Below are 16801 nucleotides of genomic sequence, written 5' to 3'. Positions count from 1 at the left end.
CCGCCTGCATCGGCCTCCCAAAGTGCTGGGATTACAGGAGTGAGCCACTGTGCCCAGCCTCATGAGATTTTTTTAAGGATGTGATTTCTAAAGAGGTTTTAGAGAGAATAGGAGGCATTGGTTAACTGGGGAGAAGGGTGGACCCCAAGATACGGAAAGGAGACTAAAGCTTTAGTGCATCTGATATCCAGTGTTCTAAACATACTATGACATATATAAATTGATATAAAAGCTTTAGTGTCCCTGATATTCACTTCTAGACATACTATGACATATATAAATTGAAATAAAGACTGATCCAACTCTGGCCCACATGCTGAAGTCATACCCAAGAGGACAATACAGTATTCAATGGGGATTATTCCTTTACCTCTTCCTTGGCTCTCTGGAAGCAGGAGTAAAGGTAACAAAAAATGTGCCTCTCTCCTGCATCTCGATCAGCAGAGAGATTTAGCGTTGTAGAAGAAGTCATGTTAATTAAGTGGTTGCCTGGATCTTGAAGTAATAAGCGAGCGAAGAGGGCCTATAAAGAAAACCAAACAAAAATACTAAACTATTGCAAAATTAATCTGAGAACATTAAGATGTAAAAGGTAATTCTGACACAGGTTATTAGCAAGAATCACAGATTTGAATGTAGAGTGAAGGAGAAAAAAAGGGCCCTGTATATTTTTACTTTAGAAAATTTTAGAAAATTATGGCATATATAAAGTTATCCTAAATCAAGCCTCAAGTGTCTAGTATAGCCCCAGCATAGAGTAGGCATTAAAAGACTATTTGTTGAATGGTGCTGAGATCAGTGATTAAACTTAGATGTGAAATCTACTATTCTGTGTGATTGCTGATCTCATTCAGACTTATATAAAGATACTCCAAATGTGAAGTTAAACTGCAAGCTGTCAACTGTCTTTCCTACCAAACTTTTATTCTTTTAATGTTACTCAGGCACCTGCAAGGTACAACGCACTGTTTTGATTTTTAAAGTGCTGTGGTTTATATGTTTGTCTCCAACAAAATTCATGTTGAAATTTGATCTCCATGTGGCACTGTTGGAGGTGGGGCTAGTGGGAGGTGTCTGGGTATGGAGGCGGATCCCTCCTGAATTGCTTGGTGCTTTTCTCAAGGTGCTGAATGAGTTCTTGCTCTCACAAGACTGGATTAATTCTCATAGGAATGGACAAATTCCCTCCAGAGCGGGTTCTTATTAAGCCAGGACACCTCTCAGGTTTTCTCCTCCTTGCATGCGTCCTCATGGTATGTGTCCTTTGGTGACTTCCTCCACCACATTGTGAGGCAGCACAAAAGCCCTCACCAGAGGCCAAGGACATACCCTGAATCTTCTCAGCCTGCAGAACTGTGAGCTAAATAAACTTTTCTTTATAAATTACTGCTTGGGTGTTCTTTTTTTTTTTTTTAGATGGGTCTTTCTTGCTCTGTCGCCCAGGCTGGAGTGCAGTCGTGTGACTATGGCTCACTGCAGCCTCTGCCTCCCAGGCTCAAGCAATCCTCCCACCTCAGCCTCCTGAGTAGCTAGGACTTCAGGTACATGCCATCACACCCAGTTAATTCTTTGTATTTTTTGTAGAAACATGGTCTTGTTATGTTGCCAGGGCTGGTAACTCCTGGCCTGGAGATCCTCCCAACTTGGCCTCCCAAAGTGCTGGGATTACAGATGTGAGCCACTGTGCCTAGTCACAGGTATTCTTTTATAGCAACACAAAACAGACTAAGATAGAAAGGATATAAAGAAGAAAAAGCGATGGGCCTTGCCCTTAAGAACTTAAGTCTAATAGGGGAGATAAGACAGGTACATAAGAAAGCCGCAACATGAGACAGAAAGTGACAATTCCCACAAGAGATTCAGAGGCTGATTATTCTAGGTACCCAGAGGAGGGAGTAACAACTTTTATTTGGCAAGGCTTTGTAATTTTTTCTTTTTTTTTTTTGAGACGGAGTCTTGCTCTGTTGTCCAGGCTGGAGTGCAGTGGTATGATCTCGGCTCATTGCAACCTCCGCCTCCTGGGTTTAAACCATTCTCCTGCCTCAGCCTCCCAAGTAGTTGGGACTACAGGCGCCCACCACCATGCCCAGCTAATTTTTTGTATTTTTAGTAGAGACGGCGTTTCACCATGTTAGCCAGATGGTCTTGATCTCCTGACCTCGTGATCCACCTGCCTCAGCCTCCCAAAGTGCTGGGATTACAGGCGTGAGTCAATGTGCCTGGCCAAGGCTTTGTAATTAAGAAGGCATTTTAACTGGTTCTTAGAGGATGGGTAGATTTGGGCATGTGGCCATGGTAGATGAAAAGATTCCAAAAGAGGAACACCACAATGTTAGAGATGCACATCCAGGTTACTTGGCCTTCTACTGGTAAAAAAAAAAAAAAAAAAAGAGAGAGGGATGGACATATGGACACAAGCATAAGTTGGAGAACAGTGAGCAGAATTCAGCCGCATAGCTAATTTTTGCTAAGGGCACACATTAGGAACGTAAGAATATTACCTGCTCAACATTGCTCATATCAAGCCAGTCTTGATCTTCTAGCTCTACTGCCATTTCTTCCAAATACACACAACGGCTAGGGATGCCATTCCCGCTTTTCAAGCTGGGATCACCTGGGAAATGGTTTTAATATGATAGGTTAAGGATAATGCTTCTGTTTTATACAGACAACTGATCTTGACAGCATCACTCTTGAACTGCAAATCTGACTCAAGTAATACCAGAATGATCCTGATACACAAAGCAACATCTAAAGATTCAAATCTTTTTTTTTCCCCCTCTAGTCACAGAGAATGGGATTTGTTATAAACCTAGCATCATGACATTTAAAGAGTAAATCCCAGACATTAGTACCAACCTTGGGGTTTAAACACAGACAGGGCACAGAGGGCAAACACTCTCTGATGCCTCTGAAGGCTTCCATCTGAATATTTAGGTTACCTCTGAGAAGAAAATGGGTTTGGCTACCCTTCCCATTTCCTTTTTAAGGTAGTAAAGGCAAGTAGCTATATAGTGCAGTCAGTATTGAAATGGGAACAAAAGTTAGATCTGCATCTAAATACTGTTTTTAGGTCATACCAAAAGGTTCACTGAAATATAAACCCTGAGTTCCAGGGAGTGCAGTGAGTAGGTTTGTATCTAACCATTAGCTGTAACCAGTTTCAAAGAGCAAGCCCCTAGCCCAAGCTCAAATAGGAAGGGTAGAATAATGCTATAAGTTTGTAACTCACTGTTGTCCAGAGTAATAAGGAAGATCCTTTGGATCATGTGATTGATGTTGAGTTGCTCACATATTTCCTGCTGTGATCGGAATGAGCGGCTAATCTCAGCCACAGAGTAATCGAATTCATCCAGGCTCTCTGACACGCTATTATCCGAGTCATCTGGGCTAGCTGGGAGTTCATCTGCCAGAAAATGTATACTGTTAAATGTTACACCCCTTTAAGAGAGAACCAAGCATGCTACCAAAAATAATAAATGTAACCAAGAAGATGATAATTTCAGATGTAAAACAAGCTAATCATCTAATTAGTGAACATCTCAAGTCAGGGAAGTTAAATATAGGGTTTTGAAATTCCTGGCTATAAATCCTACCACATTTTACAAAGCAAAAGTTTTATTTCTATCCATAATTATACTCCACACTGCCAGAAATAGCAAAGTTATCTTCTCTACAGAATCCTAGTGAACAAAGAATTACCTAATAGATCAAAATGCCTTTAATTATTTTAAATGTATGGCTTTTCTCCCTGATTTTAAGAGATAACATTTGTTTTAATAGTTCTTAACTGTACAGAAAAATATAGTATAGAAAGTCTCCTGAACCAATTCCCTAAAGACACTTAACAGTGTTCAAGAATTTTTTTCTTTTCTGGTGCTAATATTCATTACTATCTTTTTAATTTTTTTAAAAAATGGGATACTATACATAGCTCTTTTCAGCTTGCCTTTTAATCAGCACCAACACCTTTCCCTGTTAGGCCATTTAGAGGCCTACCTCACTATTTTTAATAGCTGTATTGTATCACATCTTTTGCATGCCCTGTGGTTTATGTAGCTACTTTTCAACTGATGAACAATAGGGTTGTTTCTAATATTTCATGATTTTAAATACTGCACTGAATACAATACAACTTAACTCTTTTTGTTTACTTGTATGAGTATTTCTATAGGATAAATTCACAGTAGCAGAACTGCTGGATCAAAGAGCTTGAACATTTAAAAAGTTAACATTTACTGCCTGGCACGGTGGCTCACACCTGTAATCCCAGCACTTTGGGAGGCTGAGGCAGGCGGATCACGAGGTCAGGAGATTGAGACCATCCTGGCTAACATGGTGAAACCCCATCCCTACTAATACAAAAAATTAGCCAGGCGTGGTGGCACACACCTGTAGTCCCAGCTACTCGGGAGGCTGAGGCAGGAGAATTGCTTAAACCCGGGAGGCAGAGGTTGCACTGCACTCCAGCCTCGGTGACAGAGCAAGACTTCGTCTCAAAAAAAAAAAAAAAAAAAAGTTAACATTTACTACCAAGTTACCCTCAAAGAGACTGTCTGATTTACATGCAAACCCAACAGTATATGAGAGAGTGCCTGTTTGAATCTTCACAAATTTCATAGGTAAAAAAACAATTTAATGGTTGTTTTAATTGGCACTTCTCTAATGATTGATGAGAATAAATTTTTTAATCATTTGGTTATAAGTTGCATGTCACATCTTTTGTACCTTTTTATTCTTTCTTGTTATTTTTTTCTTATTGATGAAATTCCTTCGATTTTTTTTTTTTTAAACTTCTGTCCTCAAAATCTGCTCCCATCCTTTGATTTTTTTTTTTGAGATGGACTCTCACTCTGTCGCCCAGGCTGGAGTGCAGTGGTGTGATCTCGGCTCACCGCAACCTCTACCTCCCAGGTTCAAGTGATTCTCCTGCCTCAGCCAAGTAGCTGGGACTACAGGCGCCCACCACCACGCCCGGCTAATTTTTGTATTTTTAGTAGAGATGGGGTTTCACCATGTTGGCCAGGCTGGTCTCAAACTCCTGACCTCAGGTGATCCGCCCACCTTGGCCTCCCAGAGTGCTGGGATTATAGGCGCCTGTCATCATGCCCGACTAATTTTTGTGTTTTTAGTAGAGACGGGGTTTTGTCATGTTGGCCAGGCTGGTCTCGAACTCCTGACCTCCGGTGATCTGCCCACCTAGGCCTCCCAAGGAGCTGGGATTACAGGCGCGAGCCACTGCGCCCAGCCCCATCATTCATGTTGAATGACTACATAAAAGTAGTGTTATTCACTATATGCCACATATGAGTCTATATGTACTTTTCTCTATTGACAGAATGGCTAGTCTGAAAGTCCAGGTAAAACTCTCAAAGTAAGAGTTGTTTCAGTGTGGTGAGTATAAGCTCAACATAGGAAGCCAAAGGTTTTGGCAAAGTACTAATTGCTAGTGGAAACAGGTTGGACCTGGTGGCATGATAAACTCAGTGTAAACAAACTAGGATGATGAGGTGCCAAAATAGTAACAGAAGGGCATGTGCCTGCAATGCTCCCAACTCTAGCCAGATTTATGTCTGTTTATAGCCAGAAGGACAAGCGTTCTGTTGCTCAGCTGCTATACTGTTGAGTTTTTCTCTGACCTCCAATGGTGACAGAAGCTAAGAATCTGTTTAGCAAAATTTCCCTCAACCACATACTCATAAATCATACTTTCTCATTCCTTATTTTTCCTATTTTTCACTCTGCTTTTTCCCCTACAATCTTCTAAACCAGAGTTTCCCATTCTGGCCCCGTATCATAGAAATCTGGGAGAGATTTCAGAGACTGAAAATACCATGTTAAAAAAAATCAACATTGATTTTGTTTTTCCCTTGCATCAATCACTTATCTGTCTTGCCTTTACCTCTTTTTTCTTCAGCCCTTTCTAACTGAAAGGCCAAAAGTCAGCTATGCACCTGAGTGTTTTTTTTTTTTTTAAATAAACAAAATAAAGGGAAAATGCAAACACTTCTCCTTCTCTCAAAAGAAAAACACTATTATTCTTTTCGGAGAGAGGAGAAGGGGAGCAATTTCTGGTTTGAAAGATTGTGAATATCTTCAGAAGACTAACATATTTGAGAAAAATCCTAATTCTTCTAGTGTATATGTCTCCTTATAGGAGGAAGCTGGACTTGATCTTAAATTCGGTGCCTGAAAGAAAACCATTTTTTCTGATTACTGAGATGTTATTCTGATGTTTTTCATAGTAAGGCTAAGGATCAGATTTTTTAAAAAAGTCTGTCCTAACAGGACTAAGCTACAAATGATGCCACTCATCGGAACAGAAGAAGCACTTTGCTTGGGAGGGCCTTTGAAGTGCTGAGCTTAAGAACAAGTCTCATTTGCCTACAGGTCAAAAAGCTTTTATAGTTCTTCCTTTTACATCTGCTTTCTATAGCTGCACATGACTTGCTTTCTACACCTACACTTACCACCTCTGTGTCCCATGTTAAAAACATTTATTTAAATAGCTTTTACTAGGTGATTTTTTTTTTCTTTTAAAGAAAACAGCCTGACAGCTTTGGGATCACGACTGGCATCTGTTACTATGGAACCACCTGTTACCTGGTCTCTTTTTGTACAGTGGAGAGGACAGCGGAGGGGAGGGACTCACAACAAAACCAACAATAAAAGCAAACAAACAAAAAACCCCAATTTCTGCTCTCAACAAACAAACAAAAACCAACTTTTGTTCCAAACTTAAATTCCAATTGCAATTAAGGACTCAAAGAATACTTAATTTGGGAAGACCCCATTCTAGGTCATCTTATTTGCTGCTATTGGCTCCTCCACTTACCAGATTGTTGCTTCAGCTGCTCTTTTTGGATTGCCGCAAACTGTTTGGCATCAGCCAGGGAGCCAAAAAGAGCAGCAAAGGGGTTACTTGAGATGTTGTTGTTATTCTCCTGGTCTGTCATTTCACTTTAAGGTATCCTCCATCCAGACCTAGTGGGAGAGGCTGTTCAAAGGACAGGTATTAGACACAAGAGGGCAGATGACACAATAGCTGTAATATACCTGTGGTTGTTTCTTTTCCCATTTCTCAAATACAATACATTTTAAAATACTTTGGGTTAAGATTTTCCAATTCCTGTCCCCAAACTCAAGACATTTTTGGCAAAATGGTTACAAACCTACCAGCTGGACTCGGTGGCTTGATTTGTGGATAGCTGAAACTAAAAAGGCTAAAACGTTCAGCTGGAATGCATTAATCTGTTGATATACTTTTATTTGCAATACCTTTAAGAAAACAGGTTAAGTAGAAAGAATTATTGAAGTCAAAGAGAGAACTCACCTACTAATTGTAATAACAATGTGGCACTGAAAAATAATAAGACAAGAATTATGGATTTCCCAAGAATTAAGCTGGCAGTCTAGTTCTCATTCACTGGGGTGAGGACAAGGGACTTCTATGACTTAGGGCTGGGGATGGATATTTCTCAGCTACATATAAATTAAGTAAAAGCCCATATCTTAGATTTGGACTCTGGCAAATCAGGACTGGAAGCAGTTCAGCTGTATGTTGTGGGTTTTTAACATAGATTAAGCAATCTATTTATTTCTAGGCTTAAAAATACTGATATTTCTTCCACTAAAAATTAAATGGTCTTTGCTTCATGCTATATCTAACCTTCACTGTTTACCTGATTTCTTAAAATAATACTGAAGAAACACGAATTCCAACGGTCAGGTCTACTGTGTAATATGAAATATAGATACCTCAAAGGTGTTTAGTAGAGCTGGCTGAGCCTGCATTCACACTCTTCTGATTACATTTCCTCATTCAAGACCAAGTGAACTCAGTGGCACAACAGAATAAACAGGGCTCCCTGAAAGGCTTTCTCCCCTTTCTGAAATTTTAAGGCCATGACATAGAAATATTAAATACAACACTGAAAAGGGTGGGAAGAGACAAAGGGTATGAATGTTTTGTTCATAAGGATCTTGAACTGCTATAAGGACAGAGACCTTAGAAATAGCGGGAGTAGGGGTATAAAGGAAGAAAAAAAGAACATTTGGTCTACCTTTGGTTTATTGAGGCAAGACTCCTCACAGGATCATATCAACAAAAGCTAATGTGGGCCAGGTGCAGTGGCTCATGCCTGCAATCCCAGCACCCTGGGAGGCTGAGGCAGGTGGATCACCTGAGGTCAGGAGTTCAAGACCAGCCTGGCCAACATGGTGAAACCCCATCTCTACTAAAACACGAAAATTAGCCAGGCATGGCGGCAGGTGCCTGTAATCCCAGCTACTTGGGAGGCAGGAGGCTGAGGCAGGAGAATTGCTTGGACTCGGGAGGCAGAGGTTGCAGAGAGCTGAGATTGTGCCACTGCACTTCAACCTGGGTGACAGAGCGAGACTTCGTCTCAAAAAAAAAAAAAAAAAAAAAAAGCTAATGTGGTCGAAAAAGTTACCCTTATTTACCAGAGAAAGAGATTATTTATAACATTTCTTGACAATTCTGAGGCATCTTCAGCACTTGCTTCATGCTCCTCTGCCATTTTTTCCACACAAGAGCTAACGGCTAATTAGCTGTAATGACTTAGGCAGTCTAGTCTCCTCTCAGTGCAGCTCAAAGCTTTACTGCTTCAAGGAATTGAACTGTTATTTGGATTTTTAGTAGAGACGGGGTATCACCATGTTGGCCAGGCTGGTCTCGAACTCCTGACCTCAAGTGATCCTCCCACCGCGGCCTCCCAAAGTGCTGGAATTATAGGCATGAGTCACTGCGCCTGGCCTTCTGTATTTTATTTTTTGCTATGTATATTTCAGTAAGCTTAATAATGCAAAAAAAGGGAAAGATACCATATTTAGTATTGAAATTAATGAGAGGGATTTTCCCCATGTAATTACCGCACAAGTTTAATTATTACCTGTAGTTAATGTAAAAACACCAAGAATTGTCTTATTGTTAGCTGACCACCATTCTACTTCCATCCTAAAATACCACAAATTCCAGAGGAATGCAAAAAGTATATTGAGCTCTTGTTATTTCTCTCTCTAAAACATCACATTCATTTTTTTCCTTTGGGTATCCACTCCACTCAATCCAGAAGAGGCTGACCAGTTCAGAAGGGGTTGACCTCACCCACTAGCCCCAGGAATGAACATACAAGTCTGGCCAGGCTAAAAAGAATACAGCATTTTCCAGCCAAAGCAACTGATCCAGGAGTGGGCACAAGACACTATGGAGGCCTAACAGAGTCAATGAATACCAGCTTCAGGACTTCAGCTGAATCTACGGAAAAGTGAGTTTTCTCCTGATTGAGTTGATAAGCCAGTAAGATAGAGTTGCCATCTTTACACCATTTAGAAAAGGCCTAGCCTAAAACCAAGCCAACATACACTAGAAAACAGAATTGAGAGATGGAAAGATAAGTCTGGACTTTTCAGTTATAAAAACCAATAAAATTTCCCTAAATGCCTAAACCAGTTTGATGTTTTTTAAAACACAACTGAAAAGTGTCCAGATTATTACAAAGGACATGCATCACCTGCAACACGTAAGCAGAAAGGAAGCTGAAAGCCAGGAATATAGGACATATGACAGAGAAGCTCTTAAGACTATCAAGAAGGCCGGGCACAGTGGTTCATGCTTATGATCCCAGCACTTTGAGAGGCCAAGGCGGGCAGATCATGAGGTCAGGAGTTCAAGACCAGCCTGACCAACATGGAGAAACCCCATCTCTACTTAAAACACACAAAAAATTAGCCAGGCATGGTGGCGTGCACCTGGAATCTCAGCTACTCAGGAGGCTGAGGCAGGAGAATTGCTTGAACCTGGGAGGCGGAGGTTGCAGTGAGACAAGATCGTTGCCACTGCACTCCAGCCTGGGCAACAGAGGGAAACTGTCTCAAACAAACAAACAAACAAAAAGACTATCAAGAGAAACAAAAAGAATTTATCACCATAAACTGCATTACTTCCTTCTTTCTCAATACTATACTGTTGCACTGTATAAAGAAACTAGCTTTCTACATTTTACCTCTATTTTTACTAGGATTTTAAACTTTCTGCATTGTATTTCTAAGCAGATCTTCTACATTGCTAGGCTGTAAGCTCTTCTGATTACATGTTCATATCTGATTATTCTTTCTTCTGTGTCTGGCATTATACATCACAATCACAAAATCCTAAATAAGTAGTTATTGAATGGCTTCAATCTTACATGTAGTTCTTTCTGAACTCCTTGTAATCAACAGCATCACCCATGACCCTACTTCAAGGTAAGGGCTTTACTACTTGTCTTAGGTTGCAGTGGAAGGTCAAGCTACCAGGCTAGACACTGGTTCTTTGGTATCTTGGCATGTGTAGAATGGTGGATGGAAATAAGTCTCTGTTGTCATCTCTACTATCTGTAAAAAACAAAAAGGTTCTCACCTATCTTTCACTAAGCTCATCTTTTTCACACGTATGTCAAATCTGTGCACAAACTTTTTTTCATTAAAAAAGGGCTAAAACTGTGTAGTCACTTATAGAAAAATTTTACAGGAAAAAGGAGGACTGATCACTTGATGAGAACCTTTGTGGAGATGCCAGTTTAGATTTGTTCAATGGACTTACCAAAGTAAGAGTACCCAGATAATCACCCACTCTAAAGGTCCGATAAAATGAAACCTAAATATTTTGTTTAATATTCAATAATGTCATTCGGGATTTATAATCTCCTATTTTCAGCGCCGGGCGCAGTAGGTCATGCCTGTAATCCCAGCACTTTGGGAGGCCAAGGCAGACAGATCACTTGAAGTCAGGAGTTTGAGACCAGCCTGGCCAATGTGGTGAAACCCCGTCTCCACTAAAAGCGATTACAGGCGCATACCACCACACCTTAGCCAGGCTGTAATCCCACTACTTGGGAGGCTGAGGCAGGAGAATCACTTTTAAACTGGGAGATGGAGGTTGCCGTGAGCTGAGATCGTGCCACTGCACTCCAGAGCAGAGCCTGGGTGACAGAGCCAGACTCTGTCTCAAAAAAAAAAAAAAAAAAATACACACACACACACACACACATATATACATACATATATGTATGTATTTTTTTTCCTATTTTCAACTGCCATACAGAGATACAACACTATCCTGTTGTCAGACACTTTGGGATGGTACAGCTACCAACCTTAGAAGCTTTTGGATTTGATTCTTTTAAAATATATCCTCCTTGAAAACAAGTTTCACTCTGATACACTTGCTGCAAAGATCTATATCTATAATAGCTGTCCTACAAAATTCTGTCACTTCCTCCTAATACAAGCTTTTGTTTATGAATAGTACCACTAATCCTTTAAGACCACTGTCAGCTCTCATGAACACACAAGTGTGTTAACATCAGACTTGGTATTGTTTTTCAACAGAAATATCTGGAACACTTTGTAAAACTGGGATCGTCAAAATCAAGCTCTATCAAATCATACTCCCATAAGGTCTGTGTCCTGGCAAATAATACATATATCAATATAAAATAGAAATTAAAATATCAATTTAAAATAGAAATTAAGAAACAATTTTCGTTGTCGTATGTTTCACCTAACACTATCAGGCCATGCTAATGTGGCAACAAATTCCATCAACACATCTATCTGCAGCCTAGAAGGATCTCAAGTCAAAAAGCAGACAGCAGTCCTTCTTGGATCCCATTTTATCGCAGGTGGGCTTCCACGTGAGACCAAAACAGTAAATGACAGCGAGACTAAACACATGCTTGCTGTCAGGGCATAAAACTGATCCTAAAAGGAAGGCTCATCAAATATAAGGTCATGAGGCATGGTCACTCAATTTTAGAAGTGTCTTCTAAACCCAAGGAAACATGAAGCAGAGTGCCCCAAGAGTTATCTGTGGTGAACTCATCACCTGCCTTAAGAATTATCAACACCCTGACGTATGCATTGAACTGGTTTGCTTACGACTCACGATTAATCTTATCTTCTTGGCATCTGCCTATTTGTTATCTACTCTTTATATTTTATCCTTCCATGCTCCATAAGGGATTCGCGGGAAGGAGGGAGATCCACCCGCCCGGGGCACGTTCTAGAGAAAGTTAAGTCAAAAGATAATGCAATGATAGCGCTCCGGCCTCTTCCAGGAGGGGCTTGGCAAAGATGGGGACAGAAATGTACAAAGAGACATCAGAAGCTGGGGCACTGTAAGGGGTTCCAAATCAGACAGGGTCGAAGTTCAAGAAGGAGAAGGTCCCTGGTTAGCAAAGCATAGGAGAAGGAATTTGGAGAAGATAAGAGTGAACAGGCTTGAAGTGGCATTGGACCAGCAGAAAATATCACAACGCAAAGTCAACGACCCCGTCCCCTGAAGCTATTGCCTGTCTTACCAGAGCCTGAAGTGCCAGCAGCGACGACACGACAGAATCTCAGCGGCCGAAGGGTTCCCACTTCCGACTCAGCACAGCAACCGGAAGTTACGTCATCAACAAGCGCCGGGGCATGTGGAAGTTCATCTCCGCGCCGGAAGCACGGTGTGCAGGCTCACCGGGGGGAACGGCGCGCAAATAGTCCTACAGCGCATGCGCTAGCTTGTTAGGGGCGGGCTGGAGGCGGGCAGGAAGTGGCAAGAAGTGGCCTTGGCATCGGATTGTGGGGGCTGGAGTTGGCCCACCTGGCAGTGCGCTTTGGAGTATAGAATATGAGGCTGGGTTTTGGAAATCAGCGTACCGAGGGCAGATAAAACTCTGTGATCCCTGGCTCTGCTCGCAACCTCTGTTGGGGGTCTGCTCTCTTATTTTCCCACCAGTCCTAGACCTTTTTGAAGCAGCTTCTGTTACTCTCTATTATTCAAAGGGATAACACTAACAGCAATAACAACTACAAGTTTGTTATTGTTGTGCTGTCTTTGGAGCAATCTTTGGAGTGTGCTATCTTTGATTGGATTTCAGTTTTCTTATCTGTAAAGTGGAGACAGTATACATCCTACAAGGTTGTTTTGAGATACACATAGATGGCCAGGCACAGTGGCTCACGCCTTGTAGTCCCAGCACTTTGGGAGGCTGAGACGGGCGGGTCACGAGGGCAAGAGATCGGGATACACATAAATAATAGAAGCAGCATAATTTTCAAGAGTTAAAAGCGCTGTGCAAGTGAAAATTCACAGATTGAGAGAAAATAGTTGCAACTCATATATCTGATAAAGGATTCATCTCTAGAATATGTAAAGAACTACAAGAACGAAAAACCCCCAAACAGTTCAGTTCAAAAAAGGGCAAAGGACTTGAATAGACATTTCTCCAAAGAAGATACATTCCAAGAGAATGACTATCCACTTGGTATCTGTGGGGGATTTGTTTCAGGACCCCCTTGGGTACCAAAATCCAAGGATGCTCAAGTTCCTTACATAAAATGATGCAGTATTTGCATATAACCTATGCACATCCTCCTGTGTCATCCTAGAGATGACTAAGTCATCTCTAGATCACTTATAATACCTAATACAACATAAATCTAAATAGTGTTGTATTGTTTAGGGAATAATGACAAAAAGTCTGTACATGTTCAATACAGATGAAATTTGTTTTGGAATATTTCCAATTCATGGTTGGTTGAAGCCACAGATGCAGAGCCCACAGATATGGAAGGCCAACTGTACAAATGGTGGATAAGCATATGAAAGAGTGCTCAACACCACTAGTCTTTAGGGAAATGAAAAAAAAAATCATGAGATACCACTTAATACCTACTAGGATGGCTACTATAAAAAAAAAGGAAAGTAATTGTTGGCAGATGTGGAGAAATTGAAACCGTATGCGTTGCTGATGGCAATGTTAAATAGTCCAGACTTTTTGGAAAAACAGTTTGATGATTCCTCAAAAAGTTAAACATAGTATAACCACATGATCAAGCAATTCCGCTTTGATATAGATGTTCAAAATAACTGAAAGCAGGAACTCAGATACTTGTATACATATATTTACAGTAGCACTATTCATAATAACCAAAAGGTAGAAATAACCCAGAATGTTCATTAACAGATGAATGCATAAACAAAATATGGTATATAGCTACAGATGACTTATTCAGCCTTGAAAAAGAATGAAGTTCTGATACACGCTGAAACATTGATGAACCTTGAAAACGTTATGCTAACTGAAACGAGCCAGACAGAAAGGACTAAATAGTGTATGATTCAGTTTATATGTGGTACACAGAATAGGCACATTCCTTGAGAGAGAAAGTATAATAGAGGTCACCAGGGATTGGAGGGAGAGGCGAATGGGAGTTATTGTCTAATGGGTACCAAGTTTCTGTTTAGGAGGATGAAAAATTTCTGAAATGGGTAGTGATGATGGCTACACATTGTGGATATATTTAATGCCATTGAATGGTACACTTAAAAATAGTTAAAATGGGGTTGGGTGCAGTGGCTCATGCCTGTAATTCCAGCACTATGGGAAGCCGAGGTGGACAGATCACTTGAAGTCAGGAGTTCAAGACCAGCCTGGTCAACATGGTGAAACCCTGTCTCTACTAAGAATACAAAAATTAGCTGATCATGTGGATGTGCGCCTGTAATCTCAGCTACTTGGGAGGCTGAGGCAGGAGAATCGCTTGAACTTGGGAGGCAGAGGTTGCAGTGAGCCGAGATCGTGCCACTGCGCTAGAGTGCCTGGATGACAGAGTGAGACTCTGTCTCAAAAAAAAAAAAAAAAAAGGTTAAAATGGTAAATTTTAGGTTACATATCTTTTACCACACACACACAAAAAGCCCTGGGCAATCTTTGTGTGCCTACCACTGTTCTAGTTCCTAAGGATACCATAGTGAAAAAACGTAAGTGTTTTCCTTCTTGGAGCTTATAATCTGGCGAGTGGGGTTGTAACAGCATTTAAAATTAATGGACGCAAAATGAATCATTCAATAATATTTCTGGAATAGCTGGGTAACTATCTGTATTTAAAGTTGGTTACTACATTAGATCTGATGCTAAAATCAATTCGAGATGGGTCAAAGATATAAATGCATAAAATAAAACCATAAAAATGCTAGAGGAATTCATGGGGGAACTTTTAAAAAAGGATAATTTTAAAATGGAGAAAGACTTTCTAAATATGAAACGTAACCTAGAGACCATAGGAGACCAGTGAATTATACTACATGCAAATAATTGTAAAGTGTGCGTGAAAAACTAACCAATGTGTTTTTTAAAGCAAAGTTAAAAAACACATAAAGTTGGAAAAAGACTTGCAACTAATATCACAAAAGACCTAGTTTCCCAAATATGTAAGGGGTTAGTGTAAGTCAATAAGAAAAAGACCAAAGATGTGAACTTATGTATCATGAGAAGGAAAAACAAATGGTTTACTCCAGTTTTTTTTTTTTTTTTTTTTTTTTGAGACGGAGTTTCACTCTTGTTGTCCAGGCTAGAGTGCAATGGTGCAATCTTAGCTCACTGCAGCCTCCACCTCCCAGGTTCAAGCAATTCTCCTGCCTCAGCCTCCTGAGTAGCTGGGTTTACAGGCACCCACCACCACACCCAGCTAATTTTTTGTATTTTTAGTAGAGACAGGGTTTTGCCATGTTGGCTGGGCTGGTCTCAAACTACTGGCCTCAGGTGATCCACCTGCCTTGGCCTCCCGAAGTGTTGGGATTACAGGTATGAGCCACCACACCTAGCCTCCAATTTTTAATAAGAAAAATGTAAACTAAAATTATAGTGAGAAGCCATTCAGTTTGGCATGATTCAAAAGTTTAATAATACACTGTTGGAACATGTATGGAGTAACAGGCACTTTTGTTTGTTGTTATTGGTAGTGTATATTGGTACAACCTGGCTGGGCACAGTGGCTCACACCTGTAATCCCAGCACTTTGGGAGGATGAGATGGGAGGATCACTTGACCCCAAGAGTTTGAGACTGGCCTGGGCAACATAGTGAGACCCTCTCTCTATAAAAAAAATTAAGCAATTAGCTGGATATTGTGGCACACGCCTGAAATCTCAGCTACTCAGGAGGCTGAGGTGGGAGGATTGCTTGAGCCTGGGCAGTCGAGGCTGCAGTGAGCCAATGTTGTGCCACTGCACTCCAGCCTTAGCAACAGAGCAAGACCCTGTCATATATACGTATATGTGTGTATGCGTATACACACACATATATGTGTGTATGCGTATACACACACATATATGTGTGTATACGTATATACACACTTGTGTATATACGTATATACACACGTGTGTATATATGTATATGTGTATCTACGTATATACACGTATACGTATATGTGTATATGTGTATATGTGTAGATACACATATATGTATGTGTATATGTGTATATGTGTATATATACATATATGTATATGTGTATATATACATATATGTATATGTGTATATATACATATATGTATATGTGTATATATACATATGTGTATATATACATATATGTATATGTGTATATATACATATGTGTATATATGTGTATATGTGTATATATACATATGTGTATATGTGTATATATACATATGTGTATATATACATGTGTATATGTGTATATATACATGTGTATATGTGTATATATACATATACATATATGTATATATACATATACGTATATGTGTATATATACACATATACGTATATGTGTATATATACATATATGTATATGTGTATATATGTATATATGTGTATATATGCATATATGTATATGTGTATATATGTGTATATATGCATATATGTATATGTGTATATATGTATATATGTGTATATATGCATATATGTATATATGCATATATGCATACATGTATATGTATATATATGTATATGTGTATA

The 16801-nt window shown here is 40.0% G+C and overlaps 1 protein-coding gene across 2 annotated transcripts in view, besides 1 other annotated feature; it reads right to left on the bottom strand.

The window, feature by feature from the left end:
- Nucleotides 1-12437, bottom strand: part of UBE4A (ubiquitination factor E4A) — a 39612-nt gene extending 27175 nt beyond the window's left edge. For both annotated transcript variants that reach the window (NM_004788.4, NM_001204077.2), the window contains exons 1-5: nucleotides 12363-12437; nucleotides 6836-6997; nucleotides 3233-3406; nucleotides 2502-2614; nucleotides 371-523 (exon numbers count right to left, since the gene is read on the bottom strand). In NM_004788.4, the coding sequence (NP_004779.2) occupies nucleotides 371-523; nucleotides 2502-2614; nucleotides 3233-3406; nucleotides 6836-6956 (561 nt within the window). In that variant the 5' untranslated portion in view covers nucleotides 6957-6997; nucleotides 12363-12437. The remainder of the gene's footprint in view (nucleotides 1-370; nucleotides 524-2501; nucleotides 2615-3232; nucleotides 3407-6835; nucleotides 6998-12362) is intronic.
- Nucleotides 12431-12500: an enhancer, noted in NCBI's record as "active region_5590". NCBI's record gives its function as "activates an Ori minimal core promoter by ATAC-STARR-seq in GM12878 lymphoblastoid cells {active_cell/tissue: GM12878}" and the evidence as "EXISTENCE:reporter gene assay evidence [ECO:0000049][PMID:35858748]".

Source organism: Homo sapiens, chromosome 11 (assembly GCF_000001405.40).
Source record: "Homo sapiens chromosome 11, GRCh38.p14 Primary Assembly".
Lineage (NCBI taxonomy): Eukaryota > Metazoa > Chordata > Mammalia > Primates > Hominidae > Homo > Homo sapiens.
This window is presented reverse-complemented; position numbering and strand designations above follow the sequence as displayed.